Source organism: Homo sapiens, chromosome 15 (assembly GCF_000001405.40).
Source record: "Homo sapiens chromosome 15, GRCh38.p14 Primary Assembly".
Lineage (NCBI taxonomy): Eukaryota > Metazoa > Chordata > Mammalia > Primates > Hominidae > Homo > Homo sapiens.
In genome coordinates this window covers 71,821,886-71,842,863 of record NC_000015.10, presented here as the reverse complement: position 1 = coordinate 71,842,863, position 20,978 = coordinate 71,821,886, and the positions used below count along the sequence as shown (strand labels likewise).

General features: G+C 37.7%; 1 protein-coding gene across 50 annotated transcripts in view; it reads left to right on the top strand.

The window, feature by feature from the left end:
• MYO9A (myosin IXA) overlaps positions 1-20,573 on the top strand; it is a 296,310-nt gene extending 275,737 nt beyond the window's left edge. For all 50 annotated transcript variants that reach the window (XM_047432576.1, XM_047432553.1, XM_047432585.1 and 47 more), the window contains 3 exons: positions 12,553-12,755; positions 14,838-14,980; positions 15,821-20,573. In XM_047432576.1, the coding sequence (XP_047288532.1) occupies positions 12,553-12,755; positions 14,838-14,980; positions 15,821-16,284 (810 nt within the window). In that variant the 3' untranslated portion in view covers positions 16,285-20,573. The remainder of the gene's footprint in view (positions 1-12,552; positions 12,756-14,837; positions 14,981-15,820) is intronic.
• Positions 20,574-20,978: the final 405 nt, after the last annotated feature.

The window sequence follows — 20,978 nt, the reverse complement described above, 5'->3', positions numbered from 1 at the left end:
TTTTGAGGTGGAGTCTCGCTCTGTCACCCAGGCTGGAGTGCAGTGGTGCTATCTCAGCTCACTGCAAGCTCCGCCTCCTGGGTTCACGCCATTCTCCTGTCTGAGCCTCCCAAGTAGCTGGGACTACAGGTGCCCGCCACCACGCCCGGCTGATTTTTTTGTATTTTTGGTAAAGACGGGGTTTCACCGTGTTAGCCAGGATAGTCTCGATCTCCTGACCTCATAATCTGCCCGTCTCAGCCTCCCAAAATGCTGGGATTACAAGTGTGAGCCACCGTGCCCAGCCACATATAGAAATATTAAAAGCAGCAGAGCACAGCATGGACTCTGGACTAGACTTTTGGGTGTAAATCCTAGCTCTAGTTTACTAGTAGTTGTGATATGGGCAAGTTATTTAATCTCCATGCCTCAGTGTTCTCATCTATAAATTGGTTAATAGTACCAAACTTAGGATTAAATGAGTTAATTTTTTGTTTGCTTTTTAATTGAGACAGAGTCTCGCTCTGTCACCCACGCTGGAGTGCAGTGGCACAATCTTGGCTCACTGCAACCTCTGCCTCCTGGGTTCAAGCGATTCTCATGCCTCAGCCTCCCGAGTAGCTGGGACTACAGGTGTGCACTACCACGCCTGGTTAATTTTTGTATTTATTTTTAGTAGAGATGGGGTTTTGCCTTGTTGGCCAGGTTGGTATTGAACTCCTGACCTCAGGTGATCTGCCCTCCTTGGCCTCCCAAAGTGGTGGGATTACAGGTGTGAGCCACCATGCCCAGTCTAAATGAGTTAATATTTGTAAAACCATTAAGAATTATGCTTGTTATGGACCTCTCTCCATAGAGAGAAAGAGAGTTCTTATACACACACCCCCATACACAGATAGCACTTGATATATAAATGTAGGACTGCCTCATCTATGAATATTAATTCAAAAATCCTAGGTTAAAATATCACCGGCACTTTGGGAGACCAAGGCATGTGGATCCTTGAGCCCAGGAGTTTGAGACCAGCCTGGGCAACATGGTGAAACCCCGTCTCTACAAAAAAAACAAAAAAAACAAAAAAAAAAACTACCCCTGGTGGCGAGCACCTATAGTCCCAGCCACTAGGGAGGCTGAGATGAGAAAATCACCTGAGCCTAGGAAGTCAAGGCTGCAGTGAGCCATGACTGCACTCCAGCCTGGGTGACAGGGGGAGACCCTATCTCAAAAAAATAAAAAATAAAGAAAAATTTAAAATAAAATAAAAATGAATCAGCAAGCAGAATTCAATAGCCTATAAATATAAAAATATAAATCTTGACCAAGGAGGGTTTAACCTAGGAATGCAAGGATGACTCTATGTTAGGATAGCTGTTAATGTAATTCACCATGTTTGTTGATCTGTGGAGAAAAATCGTATTATCCTCATAGATATTTTAAAAGCATTTGATATATTAGCATTCTTTTTAAAAACATTCTTATTAAAACAGGGATATCTTACATTCTTAGCATGATAAAAAATATATCTGAACCCAAAATCCAACATCTTGCTTAATGGAAGAACACTGGAAGCATTCTGATTAAAATCAGAAAAGGCAATGCTATCCATTATCCCCACTATTATTTGACATTGATTTGAAGGTACTAGATAAAGCAATTAAGAAAAAGAATTGGAGATATAAAATAAAGAAATAAAATTATCACCATTTCCATTATGATTATATACATGCAAAACTCAAGAAAATCAATGAAGGAACTTAAAGATGATAAGAGAATTCAATAAGGTGTCTGAGTACAATTAATAAATTTTACTTATGCAAACAATCACTTGGATGATATGATGGAAGAAAAATGCCCATTTGTATATTGTACACACACACACTTTAAACATCAACATCAAATACCAAAGAACACACTTAACAAGAAATGTAAAAGATTTGTACAAAGAAAGCCTTAAGGCTGGGCACGGCGGCTCACGCCTGTAATCGCAGCACTTTGGGAGGCCGAGGTGGGCGGATCACGAGGTCAGGACGTCGAGACCATCCTGGCTAACGTGGTGAAACCCTGTCTCTACTAAAAAATACAAAAAAATTAGCCGGGCATGGTGGCAGGCGCCTGTAGTCCCAGCTACTCAGGAGGCTGAGGCAGAAGAATGGCGTGAACCCCAGAGGCAGAGCTTGCAGTGAGCCTAGATCGCGCCACTGCACTCCAGCCTGGGCGACAGAGCAAGACTCCGTCTCAAAAAAAACAAAAAAAGAAAGCCTTAAAACCTCAAATATTACAAAAGAAGACTTAAATACATTTGGAAAGAAAGGCTAAATTTTGTAATGGTGTCAGTTCTTCTAAATTAATCTATTCATATATTGTTTCAATACCCACTAGGAGGGAAAGAGGATATTTTCTTAGGCTCAACTTTCAGACTCATATGACTACCATGGGCTCCACTTGGCATCAGAATCACTGAGGATATGGGACTGGGAGTATAGCATGCCTGCAGAGAGCCTAAGATCATCCTCGTGTGGGAGCCCTTGCAGCAGTCCACACAACCATCAATGAGTTATCTTTGGCTTCTAAGTCACAACTCAGGTGCAAGGAAAAAGGACTCCACATCCAATGGATGCAGAACTATTCTGCCTTAGAAGTTTTATGCCTGTACAGGAATTAACCTCTTGTGAAATTCCATAGATATTGTTTCCAGGGTCCCCTCAAGGGGTATGTCCAGTTACAACAGACTCCACTTTCAGGGAATTGGAAATATATGACTTCCTATGGGATATTTATAAATTACTTCTCCAGATGCGATTTATCAATCAGATTAATTTTTGCCAGAGGTGATGTTGCCTAATAACATCATTTGCATCCTGCCTTTATCAGGTTTCCAGGGGTCCTGAGCTAGAACATTTGACCAAAGATCAGTTCTTACACAGACAAGGAAAGAGTTTCATAACTACTTACAAATGAGGTCTCAACAAAAACAGCAAAAGAATACTTTGGGGATCTTTACAAGTTGATACTAAAATTCATAAGAAAATAAAGAAGCAGAATAGGAAAATTCTAAAAGAGAAAAATAAAGGATTATAATGTGAGTGGCATTTCAAAGGTCTGGGATTCACTAAATGATGTGGGGAAAATGAATATCCATGTAGGGAAGAAAAGAAACAAAAAAAAAGCCGATTCAGGCCAGGCACAGTAGTTCATGCCTATAATCCCAGCACTTTGGAAGGCCAAGGCAGGAGGATTGCTTGAAGCCAGGAGTTTCAGACCAGCCGTGGCAACAATGCGAGATATCATCTCTACAAAAAATTTAAAAAGTTAGCTGGGCATGGTGGTACATGCCTATAGTCCGACGAATTGGGGACACTGAGGTAGAAGGATCCCTTGAGCCCAGGAGTTCAAGGCTGCAGTGAGCTATGATTGTGCCACTGCACTCTAGGCTGAGCAAGAGTAAGACCCTGTATCTTTAAAGAAAGAAAGAAAGAAAAAAAAAACCTGATTCACATCAAAGACTAAAACATAAAAGTACTGGAAGTACAGCTCTGGCACTCCATCCTGGCAGAGGTTCTCACTGCCCTGCATCCTGTAGAACTCAAGTACCCTACCTCTCTACCTTAATACTGCCAAAATATCCAAGTAGTTTAACTCAGCTCAAAGGGCAATCGGGAAGGAGCACAAGGGGAAATCAGCAAAGTTATCAGCTAAACCTTTTCATGCAAAAGTTGAAACCAAGCCATAAAAGGTGGCTGAAGAGGATACATCTTTAGGGTGAAAAAAGTGCAAATAAAAAGGGAAAAGGGGAGCAAATGGAAAGAGATTAACCAAAAAACATTTATCTTCATAAAACAGAAACTGAAAACAAGCCAGAAAGAAGCTTAAGTGTGATTAAAGATCTCTTATTAAGTCAGGGGTCCCAGTATCTCATTGTACAATTCAGAAGAATTTTTAAATTATTTTATAAGTGTACCTTTTTAGAGCTCTGAAAACACAGCTTTTAAGAAGAGAACTCCACTTCCTCCCACTTGAAAGGAATGAATTCAGTGCTAGTTTATTTTTCTGTACAAACTGAGAATAGTTAGCTCTCTATAAGCCTAATAATGTCTTAAACTGCTTCCTGATCTTGGCTCTCTGTCAAAAGCATATTATCTGTGATGTCTTTGGTAGTGGTAGTCCAGTCCAGATTTTTCTGATAATCCTGTTAATGTGCTATAAAGGATTGGAAATCTGGGTATTGTATATAATATTAAATTGTGATTTAGTAGGACTTGAGACCTACTACTTATCAACAGTTCAAGATAATTGTATTTGATATTCTCATTTTAGGAACAGTTTGCCTGCAAAGTTTAAGCCAGGAAGTCACTGGAATAGTTACTGAGAAAAAGGATGACAATATGGCTTTATATTTTTTCCAGTACTTGCATTAAGAGTTGGGTACAAATTATTCATGTAGTCTGTGATCAGTCAAAACCAATACAATCCCTATTATGATGGAAAAATATAATCTTGGACAGGGCTTTGCTATTATATAAGACCATTAAAGAAAAAAGTTGAAAGGTTCAGCAACAAAAACCAGGTATTATTGTGTGACAAAAATGACCATAAGGAAAGTAAAAGGGAAGTGACGTACCATAAGAAAATATTTTCAATTCCTATTTCAAAGTCTAATTTTCCTTAATAAAGAGAAGCTCCTATAAGTAAATAGAAAGATTAGCTACCCAGTGAAAAATGAACAAAGGATACTATAAACCACTTCTCAGTGTTATCTACAGATCCTTTTCAGGGAGGTCTACAAGGTCAAATTTATTTTTATGATACTGTCAAGAAAATATTTGCCTTTTTCACTCTGTGACACACTGGTGGTAGAAAAACAATTATGGAAAAAAACACTACAAGAGAATATACAGTGAACATGGATCCAAAAGAAAAAATTCCAGTTTGAAAAAAGTAAATTCATGCTTATTTTAGGAAAGTGGGAAAGTGAAGGATATTATTCCAGTCAGGAAACTACTGTTAATAATTTAGTGTATTTGCAAATTTTGTATTACTCATTTTTAAAACCAATGGTATACAACCTTATGTACTGTTTTTAACACAATATTAGTATTTTCTCATGTTTCTAAAAGCTCCATGTAATCAACTTTTTAAAAATTACTTTAATCTTTTTAAGATAATTCTAGGCTGTAGGAGTTTCCATTTTTCTTTGTTTTGTTTAATGCTTCTTAAAAGAGATCAGATCTGTTGAGCTTGTTTGATTTTCTTTAGCCATATTAAAAGATTTGCAGCTAACTCATGGTGAAATACTCCGGTGGCCAGCTGATGGTATGAACACTGAAAAAAGGCAGCTCTTTTATTGAATACTGGAATGTGGACACTAGGAATAAACTCAGATTTTCAAGCTCCTTGAGGCTTTTAAATCATATTATTTATTCATTTGGCTAGAAATAGTCAATGTCAAATGGAACTGGATGATGTCCTGGAATTTATAACATAAAGAATACTTTGTCATTTTTTGTTAAATTTGCAGAGTGATCTTCTGTTTTTAGCTTGTTTTTCTTAACATGTTTTTTCCTTGTTGATTTTAGAACTAAAAGTGGAATAGCAATATTGTAATCCTCCTGATTTTATCCCATTAAGTGTTTTAGTTTTGGAGGAGTTAGCCTGAATGCCCTTAGAACTACCCTCCAGCCTTTACCCTATCACCTGCCCTAGATCATGGATTTCTATTTTTGAGACAGCACTTTTCCTTTCTTTCTTGCCAAACTCAACTCAGAAATTTGTCAGTTTAAAGTCACATAATTTTCAAAGGCTATTCGTATATTTCCATAAATAGCTAACTTTGAAAAGGAACTCTTAAATATCTTTTTTATTGCAAAATACAACACATACATAACAACAAAACACATACAAAACACAGAAACATATTCAGTTTAAGGAATTATTATAAATGAACATCCACATACCACCCCAGCTCAAGAAATAGGACATTGCCAGCATCCCCAGAAGCTCTCCTCTTTCCCTTTCTAGTCACAATCCTCTTTCTCCTCCAAAGGTAAGCAGTAACCTGATTTTTACATTAATGACTTACTTTATTTTTTGTTTGCTACCAAAATATGTATCCCTGAGCACTGTAGTTTTGCTTTACCTAACTTTGAGCTTTATATAAATGGTATCATCTAAGATGTATTATTTTGTCTCTGATTCATTTCAGTCAACCTTATGTGTGTAAGACTTATTCATATTTTGTTGTAGCTCATTTTCATAACTGTATAGTTTATCAGTGTATGCATTATACCACAATTTAGTCTACTGTTGATGGACATTTGGGTTGTGTTTTGGGGAATTATGATTTTAATGGACTCATACATGTATTTTTGTTGGAGAAATATACAGGAGTGGATTTGCAGGGTCACAGGATATATGTGTCTTCAGCTTTAGTAGATAATGCCAAACTTTCTTCCAAAATGGTTGTTAATATGTTAGCAATGTGTAGGAATTCCCAATTGCTCCACCTCCTTCCAGCACTTCTTTTGCCAGATTCCTTAATTTTAGCTATTCTGATGGGTGTGTTATTTTTAAAAATTGTATTTTTTGTTGTGACTCTAACATGTATAATGTGTGTGTATATATACATGTTGGCCATTTCTGTATCCTCTTTTGTGAGGAGCCTGTTCAAAGCTCTTGCCTGTTTTTCTAATTGGATTGTCTGTCTTTTTCTGATGTTCTGTAGGGATTCTTTATGAATTCCAGATACAAATCCTTTATTGTTACTTTTGTTGCAAATTTTCTTCCATTCTATGGTTTGCTTTTTTCCTTTCTTTTTTGATGAACACAGGTTCTGGATTTTAATGTTGTTAATCAGTCTTTCCCTTTAGGATGAATACCTTTTAAAGTCATGTTTAAGAAAATTTTTCCTTTCCACAATGCCCTGCAGTTCCCCTTTTATTATAAATTGGGAGCCTTCTTATGTGTGGGTCTGTTTCTAGGTGCTCTGTTTTGACTATCTTTGTACCAACACCACCACTATTTTATTTACCCTAGCTTTCTAAAAATAACTGGTAGAATAAGTCATCCTACCTTCTTCAGTGGTGTTTTGACTATTCTTGGCTCTTTATATGCCATATAAATTATGAAATCAGCCTCAAAAAATTCTCTTGGGATTTTTATTGGGATTGCATTGGATCTATAGATTGCCTTCTGGAGAACTGACATTTTTACGATACTGATTTTTCCCATCTGTGAACATGATATATCTCTTCATTCATGTAGATCATTAGCTACTCTCAAAAGTGTTTTATAGTTTTGTACGTTGAGATTTTACACATCTTTAGTTTGAATTACTACTAGGTATTTAATATTTAAATGCAATCATAGGTATTATTTTAAAATTTTTATTTTCTGTTGCTTATTGTATAAAAATACAATTGATTTTGGTATTTTTCATCTTGTATTCAGTGACTTTGCTGAATTCACTTATTCTAATAAGTTTTCTGTGGACTCCTTTGGATTTTCTACCTGTACAGTCATATCATTCATGAATAATGATAGTTTCATTTGCTCTTTTGTAATCCTTATACCTTTTCTTTCTTTTTCTTATGTAAGTTAGAACCTCCAGTATAGTGTTGAATGGAAGTGGTGATAGTGATCATTACTGGCATGTTCCCAGCCCCAAAGGAAAAGCTTTCAACCTTTTACCACCAAGTGTGATGTTTGCTATAGAATTTTTGTAGGTACTTTATGAGATTAAGCATGTGTCCTTCCATTCCAGGTTTTCTAAGAGTTGTTATTGTGACAGAATGTTGAATTTTATGAAATGCCTTTACTGCATGTATTGAGGTTTTATCAGACTTTTTTATTGCATTGATATGACACATTACACTGAGTCCATTTCTAATGGACTACATTAGACTACTACATTATAATGTAGTAGTATCATTATATTATGTGTATGTAGTAGTATCATACTACTACAATAAATCCAACTTTTCATATATTTAAAATTTTTATATTACATTTTCTATATTACTTGATTCCGTTGTAGTTAGGATATTGTTTAGGATTTTTGCATGTGTTTATGAGTAAAGTTAACCCATAATAATCCTTTTTTGTTTTTGTTTGTTTGTTTGTTTTGAGACAGGCTCTCACTGTTATCACCCAGGCTGCAGTGCAGTGGCATGATCTTGGCTCACTGCAGCCTCAACCTCCTGGGCTCCCGCCTCAGTGCTTCATGTAGGTGGAACTACAGGCACGTGCCACCACACCTGGCTAATTTTTGTATTTTTTTTTTTTTAGAGAAGGGGTTTTGCCATGTTGCCAAGGCTGGTCTCAAACTCCTGAGCTCAAGCGATCCACCTGCCTCAGCCTCCCAAAGTTCTGGGATTGTGGGCATGCACTACTGCACCTGGCAATAATCCTTCTTTTTAATGTATTTGTTGTGTTTTGTTATCAAACTTAACGCCTGCCTCTAAAGACAAGTTAGGGAATAGTTTCTTTTTTAATTCTGTGGAAGAATTTGTTATTTCTTCTTCTTTGCCACTGAAATCTAGGCCTAGAGTTTTGTTTTTGGAAAGATTTTGACTCTGGATTCAATTTCTTTAATATTATTCACATTCCTAATTTCTTCATTGATGGTATTAATTAGATTTTCATAGAAATTTCTCCACTTTGTCTAAAATTTTATATTTATTGACATGAAGTTGTTTTTAGTAGTCTCTTATCCTCTTTGGGTCTACAGGATTTGTAGTGATATCCCCTTTTTCATTACAACCTTTGGTTATTTGTGACTTCTTTTAGTCTTGCTAGGGTTTTAAAAATTTTATTAGCCTCTTCAAAGAGCTACATTTGGCTTTGATTGTCTTTATTCTAATGTTTGTTTGCTCTTTTCTTTATTGCTTTTGTTGCAGGGGGAATTTATTATGTTGTTCTTTAGTTTCCTGAAATAGAGTCTTACATCCTTAATTAATTAATTCTTTAATTAATTAATTCTTTTCTAATGTATGTATTTAAGGCTGTAACTTTAAAGTAGACAGAGCTTACATGGGTTTTTATATTGTTTCATTCAAAATATTTTCTAATTTCCATTGTGATTTCCTCTTTGACCATGGTTTGTTTTAAAGTCTATTTCTTAATTTCTGAGTATACAAGAATTTTTAATTTTCTCTTTGTAACTACATTATTAGAAAACTTGTTTTAAATTACTTTAACGGTCAGATAAATTATTTCAACCCTTGGAATTTTGTTGTCTTGCTGTGTGCGCTTTAAAATGAGTATTCTCTAGTTAGATACTGAAGTCTGTATATGTCTGTTAGATTGCTTATATCAAGTTCAGTTTTACATCATTTCTGATTGCGTGTGCATACTTGTTCTCTCAGTACTGATTATAGTCTATTTTTTAAAAATAGTTTTGTCAATATTTTACTTTAAATTTTTTGAAGCAATTTCTTAGGTACATACATATTTGGAAATGTTATTCTTCATAATATGAACCTTTGTCATTGTGAGGTATCCCTCTTTATCACAGGTAATACTTCTTAAAGTTTACTTTGTTTACAGTTAATATAGCTGTACTAGCTTTATTTTGGTATTTGCATGGTATGTCTTTTTTTTCCCATTTCTTTACTCTCAGCCTTTCTGAATTCACATGTCTCTTATAAACATCATATAGATAGGTTTTCTTTTTTTTTATATGGCCCAACAATCTTCAAATTTTAATAGGAGCATTTCATCTATTTATATTTAATATACTCACCAATATATTTGGGCTTAAAATCTACTGTTTTTTATGTGCTTTTTATTTGTCCTGCCTGATATATGTTCCTTTTTCTTTTCTTCCTTGCCTTTTTTGCTCTTTCTTGCATTTTTTTACTACTTTTTTATTCCATTTTTTCTTTTGTTTGGAAGTTTTACTCTTTTACTATTATTTTAGTCATTAACCAAATGGTGAAAACAGATCTGTGATCTATCAGTATTTGCTAACTAGTAGTTTTATCTTTTTCCCAGATAATACAGGTGTTTTAATATGCCTTACTGTGATATGATTTTGTTCCTCTTGTTGTTGTGTATCTTAATTATCTGTATGTTTTAAATTCAACACATCGCTATTATGTTTTATGCAGTCACTATTTAAACATACTCACGTTTCATTGCCTTTCATTATTTCTCACACCTCTAACTTTTCTTCGAGACATTTTCAATCTTTCCTTCAATATTTCCTTTAGTGCAGGTCTGCTGGTGTGAGATTCTCCTCTTAGTCTGTCTGAAATGTCTTTATTTCACCTTCATTCCTGAAAATTATTTTCTGTATATAACAATCAAGCTTGGCAGTTACTTTTTCATCACCATGAAAATATTCCATTGTTTTCTGCATTCCATTATTTCTGTTGAGAAATAAACTTTGAATCTAATAGTTATTCCTTTTTTGCAAGGAATTTGCTTTTTGTAACGCTTTTAAGTCTTTTTTTTGCCTTAGGCCTTTAGTTTTTAACAGTAGTTTGTCTAGGTATAGACTTCTTTTTATTTCTTTCTTAGGGGTTGTAGGCTTTCTTAAATTCCTAGGTTAATATCTTTAACTGCTTTTAAAAAATTCTCTGCCATGATCTCTTCAATATTTATTCTATAGGATCTCTCTCTTGTCCTGATATTTGCCCAGGCTGGAGTGCAGTGGCGTAATCTTGGCTCACTGCAACCTCTGCCTCTCGAGTTCAAGCAATGCTCTTACCTCAGCATCCTGAGTACTGGGACTACAGGCGCATGCCACCACACCGAGCTAATTTTTGTATTTTCAGTGGAAATGGGGTTTCTTCATATTGGCCAGGCTGGTCTTGAACTCCTGACCTCAGGTGATCTGCCTGCCTCAGCCTCCCGAAGTGCTGGGATTACAGGCATGAGCCACGGTGCCCAGCCATTCTTTTACTTTCTTTTGTGAATTTTTCCATTCTTTTGTTTCTTCCTGCTTGGTTCAGGATTTTTCTTTTGACCTAATTTCCAGTCCACTACTTCAGCTATGTCTTCCTGTCTCCTTCAGCATGGTTATTTTAAATCTGATAGCCACAATATCTGGAGTCTTTTAGGGTTTCTGTTTTCTGTCATTTTTACTAGTTTTCATTTACATTGTCCTGTCTCCTTTTGTGCCTGTTACCTTTGATTATTTGTCAGAGTATTTGAAAAACTATTTTTAAAATATTTTGAGGCCTAGATAATGTTACTTTCTTCCAAGAATGTTTTCATTTTTTTCTGCCTGGTCCTAAAGTATTAGCAATCTGAGATTAATTCATTTTTAGGGATTAGAATTTTCTGGACCATTCAGATGACTTGAAGCTAGACTACAGTATCTGCAAGGACTTTTATAATTTCAGTTTACTCTTATGTCTAAGAAACAAACCTTGGGGATCCCAGTGTCAGGCACGGAGGTTTTGCCAGGCAGCAACCCACACCATTGAGTGGGTCTGGCTCCAACTTTTATTCTCTATCCCAAGGTGATGGCAGACTTTTTCTGTAAAGGACTAGAGAATAAATATTTTAGTCTTTGTAGGCCAATCTCTGTCTCAACAATCAACTCTGCCATTGTTCTGCAAAAGCAGCAATAAACAATAAATTAATGAGATAAATGTATTCCAGTGAACCTGTATTTACAAAATATGTGCAAGGCTAGATTTGCCACACGGGCTATAGTTTGCCGTCCTCTGCTGTAGCATGTCAAAAGCTCTGTTTAGAGTCACAGCCACTTCTGACATTTAGATCAGCACTAAATGCTGGACTAGTGTCTCCTTAATCTATCTTGTTAGCTCTTCAGTGCCTTCTAGCATATGTTGAGTTTTTATGTTTCTTAGCAGGAGATTAACCTAAAAAGTTTAGTTTGCCACTACCAGAAGAAAGTCATATATAAAGTAACCAATGTTTAAAAAAAAAAAAAAAAAAAAAAAAAGGAAGAAGCAGCAATGAGATTTTCACACTCTGATCTCAAGGATAGAAGTTTCCTAAGAAAATATATCTCACTAGCACCCTGTGTTCTATAAATGACTACATTTTGTTTTTGTTTTTCAAAACTGAGTTTTAGAACATACTTCTATGGTCTTCCTAGAGAGATTATGCATTCCAAGGCTACAGTTATAGAGCACTGTTATCCATCAGAACTTACTATGATGGTAGGAAATGTAGATCTGTACCAGTCAGTGTGGGGGTCACAAGCTACTTGTGGCTATTGAGCACTTGAAATGTGGCTAGTGTGACTGCAGAACTGAAATGTTAGTTCAATTTTAATTAATTTAAAAATAAATACCCAGATGTGGCTATTTTGTTTGGAATGGATGCAGCTTATATTAAAAGAAGAAACTCATCTCAGTACACAATGGGTTCTTACACTCCCACCTACCAAAGTATCCGTTTTCCAGTACTCCTGCAAGAAATATTTTAACTTAAATGTGTTGTATGAATATGTCTCACTAAATATCCTAGGCCTCGCAGAGTGTTTCCATTTATTCTTATCATTCACCTGGTGTGATGGAAATACACTTGTTATCCTAAAAGAGCAATGTAAAACTGATGCAGTCACTCAATTTACTTTCTAACATGAATTTTTCTCTGCAGGGAAAGGGGCGTATTCGTCGAGGAAACTATCCAGGTCCATCGTCTCCTGTTGTAGTTCGGTTGCCTTCTGTGTCTGATGTCTCAGAGGAGACCTTGACTAGTGAGGCAGCCATGGAGACTGACATCACAGAACAGCAGCAAGCAGCTATGCAGCAGGAGGAGAGAGTACTGACTGAGCAGATTGAGAACCTACAGAAGGAGAAGTGAGTATCCAGGAGGAAGGGGAGAGACAGTTATAGTCTGTTTTTGTTTCCTTCCTTCTATCGTTTCTTTATTTTTTCTTATTTATTATCTCCTGTGTGTTAAACACTGTGTCAGATGATACAGGAGATGTTGAGATGACAAAGACGTGTTGTCTATACTCAGGTAACAGTGTGAGAGTTGTTCCCTCTGGGAAGCCAGTTCCATGAGCTGGGAAACCTGAGGCTGCTACAGTGATGGTCTGTAGAGGCTGACTGGGAGGAGGACACAGTATCCACAGGGCATGTCAGTCTTAGTCACGATTCATCTAGCAGTAACAGTGGGGAGCCAAGATGAGGTACTGGAGTCCTAACAGGTCGGAGACCAGCCTCCATGAACAGATTTATTTTGCAAAGAAGAGAAGGAATTCTTAGGCTAAGCCAAAGTCCCTTTCAAGAATGGGCATTATTCACAAATCCATGAAGGAAGGTTATTAGCCAAAGATCCATATGACCATGGGAACAGCAACTAGATGGTCATAGTAAGGCTATAGCCCTAGAGGGTGCTAGGATACTAGATAGGGAAATTGGTTGCAATTTAGGAGAGAGACAAATGAGAAGCTCTTTTACCTCCATTCATCACTGTTGCAGGGATTGGGTGACAGTATGCCTTGGGGATAATATGAACGTGCCATGGTTCTCCCTACAGGTGCTGTGTAATAGTTCTGGTCGACATTGATGACTCTTAGGAAGTCTTAATGGGATCTTTATTCCTGAGTTCCAGGATCCCAGGTCTTGAGTTTGGTTTATAAGGGGATATAAGACTGTTAAAATACTTTCTTGGTCTCTCATGATTGATTCTGGAATATAGGCCAGCTAAAAAAGCAGCTGGGGCTCAGCTGTAAAAAACATGATAAGGCAAAGATGATGTACATTGACCAGGGGCTATTTGCTAGAAGAGTGATCTGAAAAGAAGACCCAGTTTGGCTTTGATGCAGATGATATTGGCAGTCTTGAAGGATTAATAGGAATTTTCAAGGAAGGGGAGAGTCTCTAGAAAAAGAAAGAAGAACGAGCAGAGTCTCAGAATGCACATGGCCTCAGACAATTGTAATGCTGGTGATACTGTTCTTGAAATGATTGTTCATGGATCTCAAGCCAGGTAAAGGGGAAGTAAAGGTAAGGGGCTCTGTTAGGGAAGAGACTTGATTAGAAGGTGAGTAAGAATTGGAAGGATAAGGAGGTTGTGAACAGGGTGGAGTGTTGGATTCAGAGTAATGACAAGCTCCAGGATCTGTGCATTGGAGAAAGTAGCTTAGATAAAGTAGAGGAGAATATTGTTAGAAGTTGCAGACATAAAGGAACTTCAGTGTTAGAATATTCAGATGAGTTTTTACAAAGATATTAATTGAATAGATCAGGTGATGTCAGGCATTAGTGAAAAAGCAAGATTAGGATCTGAGTACCAAAGACCTCACAGAATGTGGGGCATTACTGAGAGGTAGCTGGGTGACCGTGATGAAGAAGGGAGACTAGAGAATACGACAACTGAAGATGGCATAAGCTTCAAAGGACAGAAAAGATCAATCAGTGTTTTTCTTCGTCTAGAGGTCTCTGTGGTGAAGATAGAGGGTATCGTCTATAGCCAGTTAGTAAGCTTCATGGAAAATAGTTTAAGAGCTGGAAGGAATCTTAGAGGTTATCTAGTTTAATCTCTTTGTTTTGTGGTAGGAAGCTGAGGTCCAGAAGAGAAAGGTACTTTCCTGATGCATTATGGATATTATGAACAAGGTTAGAGCCCTGATCTCCTGCTTATCAGTCCAGAGTTCATTTTACTGAAAGATCTCACCACTACATCTTTCTTCACCCTACCCTTACCCCTATTATTGGTCCTAGATTGGCTATCTGTCATTTTGTCCTTTAGTCCATATAGTTTTAGCCTTCACCATATTTGGCATACAGGTCCTCATCACCACCTGGATGGGGACAGTAAAAATGGACTCTCTTTGCTTCTTAGATTCCTGACTTCCATGGAGGATCTTTTTTTCTGTTATCTTCCTTCCACTTCCTATCAAATGCTAATGGTTTCTTGATTGTGTCTTACAGGGAGGAGCTAACATTTGAGATGCTTGTACTGGAACCCCGTGCCTCTGATGATGAAACCCTTGAGTCTGAGGCCTCCATTGGGACTGCTGATAGCTCAGAGAATTTGAATATGGAGTCTGAATATGCTATCTCTGAGAAATCAGGTAAGTGAACATGGTAGACCAAAGACTCCAGATTTGTTTTGCAAAGGAGGAATAAAGATTCCAAAACTAAGACAAAGTCTTTTAAGAATTTACTGACTGTACATCAGCAATAACAAAGTCTTGAGGAATTTTGTCCTTTTATCCATATAATTTTAGCCTTCATCGTTTGGCATACAGGTAGTGACCTGGATGGGGATAAGAAATATAAGGGGATAAGAAATATAATTGTCTTTGCTACTTAGATTCCTGACTTCCACGGAAGGTCTTTTTTTTCCTGTTGTCTTTGTAAAGCTTCCATATACATTGTTTATCAAACCAACTCTTCAACGTGATTGAGTTTTTTGTTTTTTGTTTTGTTTTGTTTTGTTTTTTGGTAATTTAATGTTTTATCCTGTACTTACCACAGAGAAAAGCCAATAATCACAATATATGTTGTCTTACTGACCCATAACCCATTTTCTGAGGGTGGCAGGCATTGTGCCCCCACTGTGAGGTGGGACTATATACATATACAAAGGAGGTGTTTAACTGGGTGGCATGTCTCAGGGAGATGTAGGACTTACCTGCATATCCTGGCAGTTTTTGAAATGATAGTGACTGTTCTAGGCCTCCGCTGATGGCATAGTCAAACACCAGATTTCCTTGGAGATGATTCGGAAATGCTACATAGAGAAATGGATGGTGAGCTCTTACTGTGACTGTGCCCATAGTAAGTCATCCTGGACCCTCTGAATCTTATCCCACCCAATTTCATGTGTGAACAGTGGCATCTATTCATTATATGATGATTTGCTTTAGAGGGCACTGTCATTTACATCTTTGGTCTCTTTTTTGCATTAGAAAGAAGCTTAGCCCTTAGCTCCCTGAAGACAGCTGGCAAGTCTGAACCTTCCAGCAAGTTGCGAAAGCAACTTAAAAAGCAGCAAGACTCTTTAGATGTCGTGGACTCTTCGGTCTCCTCTTTATGTCTGTCTAACACGGCATCATCTCATGGGACCAGAAAACTATTTCAGATTTATTCCAAATCTCCATTCTACCGAGCTGCCTCAGGTAATGAGGCCCTGGGAATGGAAGGACCATTGGGCCAGACCAAATTCCTGGAAGACAAGCCTCAGTTCATCAGCAGAGGAACCTTCAACCCGGAAAAGGGCAAACAAAAATTAAAGAATGTGAAAAACTCACCTCAGAAAACCAAAGAGACCCCAGAGGGGACAGTCATGTCTGGCCGCAGAAAAACTGTGGACCCAGACTGCACCTCCAACCAACAGCTAGCACTCTTTGGAAATAATGAATTTATGGTCTGAACCGGCAGATGTGTGTCCCTCCGTGGCTACAGAGTGGTAAACAAATCTCACCTTTGGGGCTGCGTTTCATCACCTCGTCCACAATAGTCAATCCTAATTGTGGTCCTGCCTCTTTTCTAAGCATATGGCTAAGACTGTATGTGCTGAATTCCTGGGCCTCCTGCAGAAGCAGAAAGCCTGCTGGGGATGGTGCCAGCTGTGCCTTGGCTGTTGTATTTGAATTGAGATTTTTACTATACAAAGCCACCTAGGGCCTGGGGATTTGGGTCAGTTGTAGTTGCCTCTCCCCCACCCTCTTTTCCCTTCCCAAAGGTGGGTGTTGAACTAGGGGGGATATTGCTGTCCTGAGGGACCCTCTCATTTCTGACATTTGAAGAAAACGTATAAATCTTTCTTAACCGTGAAAGCAAAAGCCTTTGGGTTTATTTTGGGATAGTTAGGAGCTAGGGTAGAATATAATTTTTTTCCAAAAACTTACTTACAAACAAAAAGCCTAATCCCTCTATTTTAAGATTTCTGAAAAAACACTCCATGTTATATTCTGGGGAAAGCAAAAACAAAAAAAAAAAACAAAAAAAAAAAAACAAAAAAAAACCGTGATTGTTTCCATTAAGCCATCAGAGCGTGTCTCAGATATCTTGTTATACAGTGAAGAAGAGAATACCTATTTTTTTTGATGATGTTTGATGTCATAGTAATCAGTGCTGGTTTAACTCCTGTTTAGTTCCTGCCAAATACATTGCATGGGCTGAAGTGTCAGTAGCCATACTGTTCTCATGTTTCTTGGTCCTAGGATCAGATTCTTCTACATTATTTTTTAGTTTCCCAGAGACATGGTGATCCCTAAACTTATGAAGGTTTCATCCTAAGCCATTCAGGCTTTTCTCTTTGTATAGATTAAACCGAAAACCGCATATGAGCCTGTTCATCTGCTGGTGGATTCCCACCACAGACTCAGACTCAAACAAACAAACAAATAATGTGACCGTTTAGTTAGTTTCCAAAAACATTCACATACAATATTGCATGAATAAGTAAGTAAGTGTTACAGAAAGCTGCCAAAAAATAAAAAGGTTTTTAATATGACCTATCTAACTAACTAACTTTTATCTTCCTTTTCTCAGACTATCAGTATTAAATAGATGGAAAAAAATCAAGGACTACTTGAAGCTATTTTTGTTAATATTCTGGTTACTGAAGTTTATTGTAAATATGTATGTATAGTAGGCATATTTCTTTTTAACCTTGTGCTTCCCTCCTTCCCATGGAATTTCTTCCCACAGATGAGGGGCCACTGGACAGGGGGATGAGAGCCATTCGTCCCTGGGTTGAGGGAATTAGTAAGACATCATTTTCACCACTGGGTGGTCTTCATACACATGAGTTATAATAGCATTTTAAGTATCTTAGCATTTGTGGGATTAGAAATCTGTTTTTGCTATTTATAATATATAAAAAATGAAACATGATAGCCTTTCTTGAGATAAGTATGTGAAATGTTTATTTTTAAAGTTACTAAATGCATCTTGTCTTGCTACTACATGCACTGCTCTGAAAAAGAGCCTTTACCATCTATAACCTGTATTTTGGGTATTCTTCCTTTTCATACTTCTTTGAAGTTGTGGAAATATTAAGTCTTTTGTTAAGGCAGAGTCTCTCTCTCCTGTTACACAACACTGAACCTCACGCCACTGCCTCAGTGGTTATTGGCCAGCCCCAGAGGTTAGACTTGGAGCATAATTCTGAGTGGCAGCTAAAGGTAGCAGGAGTCTTACCTCTCCCTACTTTGGGTTCAGAATTGAGCCAGAGAAAGGAAGCCATTAAAATCTCCAGAATAATGATAGTTAATGAGCAAATGTTATGCTTTATATCCCACAGACATCTGCCACCTTGTTCATCTTGTCCTGAGGAGTAATAAATAATGTTAAGCTTTTAAAAATCTGAATTTCAGAGAATCTCCTAGAGGATAGAGGAAAACCCCTCAGCATGGTGTGTTAGAGTGGGATTGCTGGTTCCTCAGCCCCGTGCCAGGTTGCACAGTCTGTGTTTCAGTGTTCTTGGGAGAGTAGTGTACTGCTGGGCATTAATTGTTACTCTGCACTTGCTCCAGAATGTTGGTTAAATCCTGTATGAAAAAAAGAGATTGCCCTTATGGAATAATTTCCTGTGGCCCAGAGGAATGGCCAGAAGAACATATGTTGGCACATGTTCTTCCTTCTAAATCTTTGTGGGGCTTTTTTGGCAAAATAAGTTTTTTGGCAGTTAAAAAACGACTGATGTAGGTCACTTTAAAGGAACTAGGTGATGGATGTTAAGAGACTTTATAATTTTTCTCAGGGACCTGAAACTCCAGTTTGGATAAAATTCAATTAAAAAAACTTGTTTTTTCAGTTGCTAGATTTGTGGATTTCTAGTAATTTAATCTGCCAGGATTGGGGTGGGTGGGTGAGGAGGAGAGAGCCACAAAATGATAAGAGTGGAGAGCAGTGTGGGGCCCTCCCTTTGAGGGAAAGCCGTTGTTTACATAGGGTAGTAGGCCTTGTTGGCCTGATCAAGAGATGAAGCCATAACTCTTAAAAACCTTCAGAACCAAACGCTGTGTCTGCATCCATCTGTTCTCACTGGCCCTCTGCATGGTAAAGTTATGTCACCACAAAGTGATGCCGCATTACAATCACTTATGAAACTGTTAGCCCTTAATATGCATCACATTTGTGGTTCCATAGTGCTTCTCCTTTGCTTGTTTGATCTCTGCATGGCAGCAGTGGGGCAGCTCCACATTTGGAGCCCATACTCCAAAATGCAGAGCACTCTTCTCACAGCACACATTCCCAGCCCCAAACAAAACCTGAATTTTCAACTCTGCCCATTAAAGTGAATGTATCCCTGTAATTTAGTATGTACTTATTATGGAAAATGTAACAAAAGCAGAGAAGTGTGATTTCATTCTGTATCACAAATTGAAGCAAATCAACAGCAAATACAGCAGGATTCAGGGAGGCTTAGTTTACAACGTACTTTGTACCTCCTGCCATTTAAATTATTTTGCCACTCTGGGCTTCTGAAAACACAAAGGGAGATACAGCCCTCCAACTATGAGCCTTGCAGAGAGAGACAAAAGGGCCAGAGGTCCTGGGATGGAATACTAGAGCCCCCACCTTCTCATGCTTTGGAAACCTGCCAGAGCACTTACCCTGCTGGAAGATTAATGAAGACTCCATTCTGTGTTTCATAACAGTAGCGTTGTTTTCTCCATCAAAAACAGAGGGTCACAGAAATGTGCTGAAAAGATGTGGTCCAGCAAGGTTCTGTAGTCCCACCTCAGTGCCTGTGGGCTGTGTTTTTCACTGTAACAAGCACTTTGGTAAACTAGAAAGAAGAAAGGATTCTCAGGATGTGTTCAAAGCTAAGAGAGTTTTCATTTTAAAAAGAAACATACATACTCACTCCATGGCTTTCCTCATCCTCCTCTCTTTTTTCTTCTTGGTGGGAAGCTGGATGCGGGGCATGCATCATTCTGTATGGACAAATGTGTTATGTCCACCCATACTCTTGTGACAACTCCCCAGCACTGTCCTGCAATACCATGCTGGCCTTGGTAGTAAAACTCCTTGGTATCTGTGAGAGTCCTCTTTTTCTATGCCCTAGACTACTTTTAACCACTTTTCTCTGGAATGACTCCCACATTTGATTGGGTATTGAAAGGGTAACAGCAAAATGATGATTGTGGAGATGGATCTATTAGGTCTCATGTTGGTCCCCTGGTTGAAACTATTTTCAAAAAAGCCCCAACAATGGGCCTGTCACCTTGCTAGTCATCCATTCTTAATGCCTATTTATCAGCCCTCTGAGGTCATATAAAAGTTGCACCTTTTGAACCAAGTATTTGTATTTACTATGGGAAAGGTGTGGACTACAGATTCGTATTATATTATTTTAATGGATTTTAAGTAATTTATAAGTATGCTGAGTGTAAATTTTTTTTAAAAACTGTATTATAAAAGGACATATCCTGTGAAATATAACATTTTACTGTTTAATAGAATAATTCTATAAGAAGAATGATTTATCTCACCCACGGAACTGATTACATTCCGGATGCAATCAATAGGCACTTTGTAATTTCCTTTTTGTTTTTTTTTCTTTGCTGGGGGGTTGAGGGGTAACAAGATACCATCTGTATAAAGTGCAGTTTGTGTCACTCAAAATATGCACTGTATGGCTACACAAAAGCAGCTTGATGAACAAATCACCCCATGGCTCATTAAAGAACAAAGCTTCCAGAAGCAGCAATATGTGTGGTTTGTTTTCCAACCATCCTGGCTCCCACTCCAACTATTCCAACCCAACTCCAAGAAACAGCAGTGACTTCTTAGTTACACTGATGTGTTTTCAGGAAAGGACTCAACCCAAAGTTGACAAAGCACAGAGGTGGTAGTCACTGGAACTCAACTGAATTCAAGTGAAGGTGTGATTCAAGGTGTCGTTTTTTCTGTAGTGGATGCAGGCTGCTGGCTGTCAAGACTTCATTTAATCGGTTTAAGGCTAGAAGGGAGGAAAAGCAGTAAATCTGCATTTAGGATCCTCCCCTAAATTGGCCACTTGAAGAAGTTGCTAATAGAGGTTGCCAATAGAGGGCCCAAGGATTCTCACTGAAATTCAAAGCAACACATTGCAATAGGAACAGAAATTTT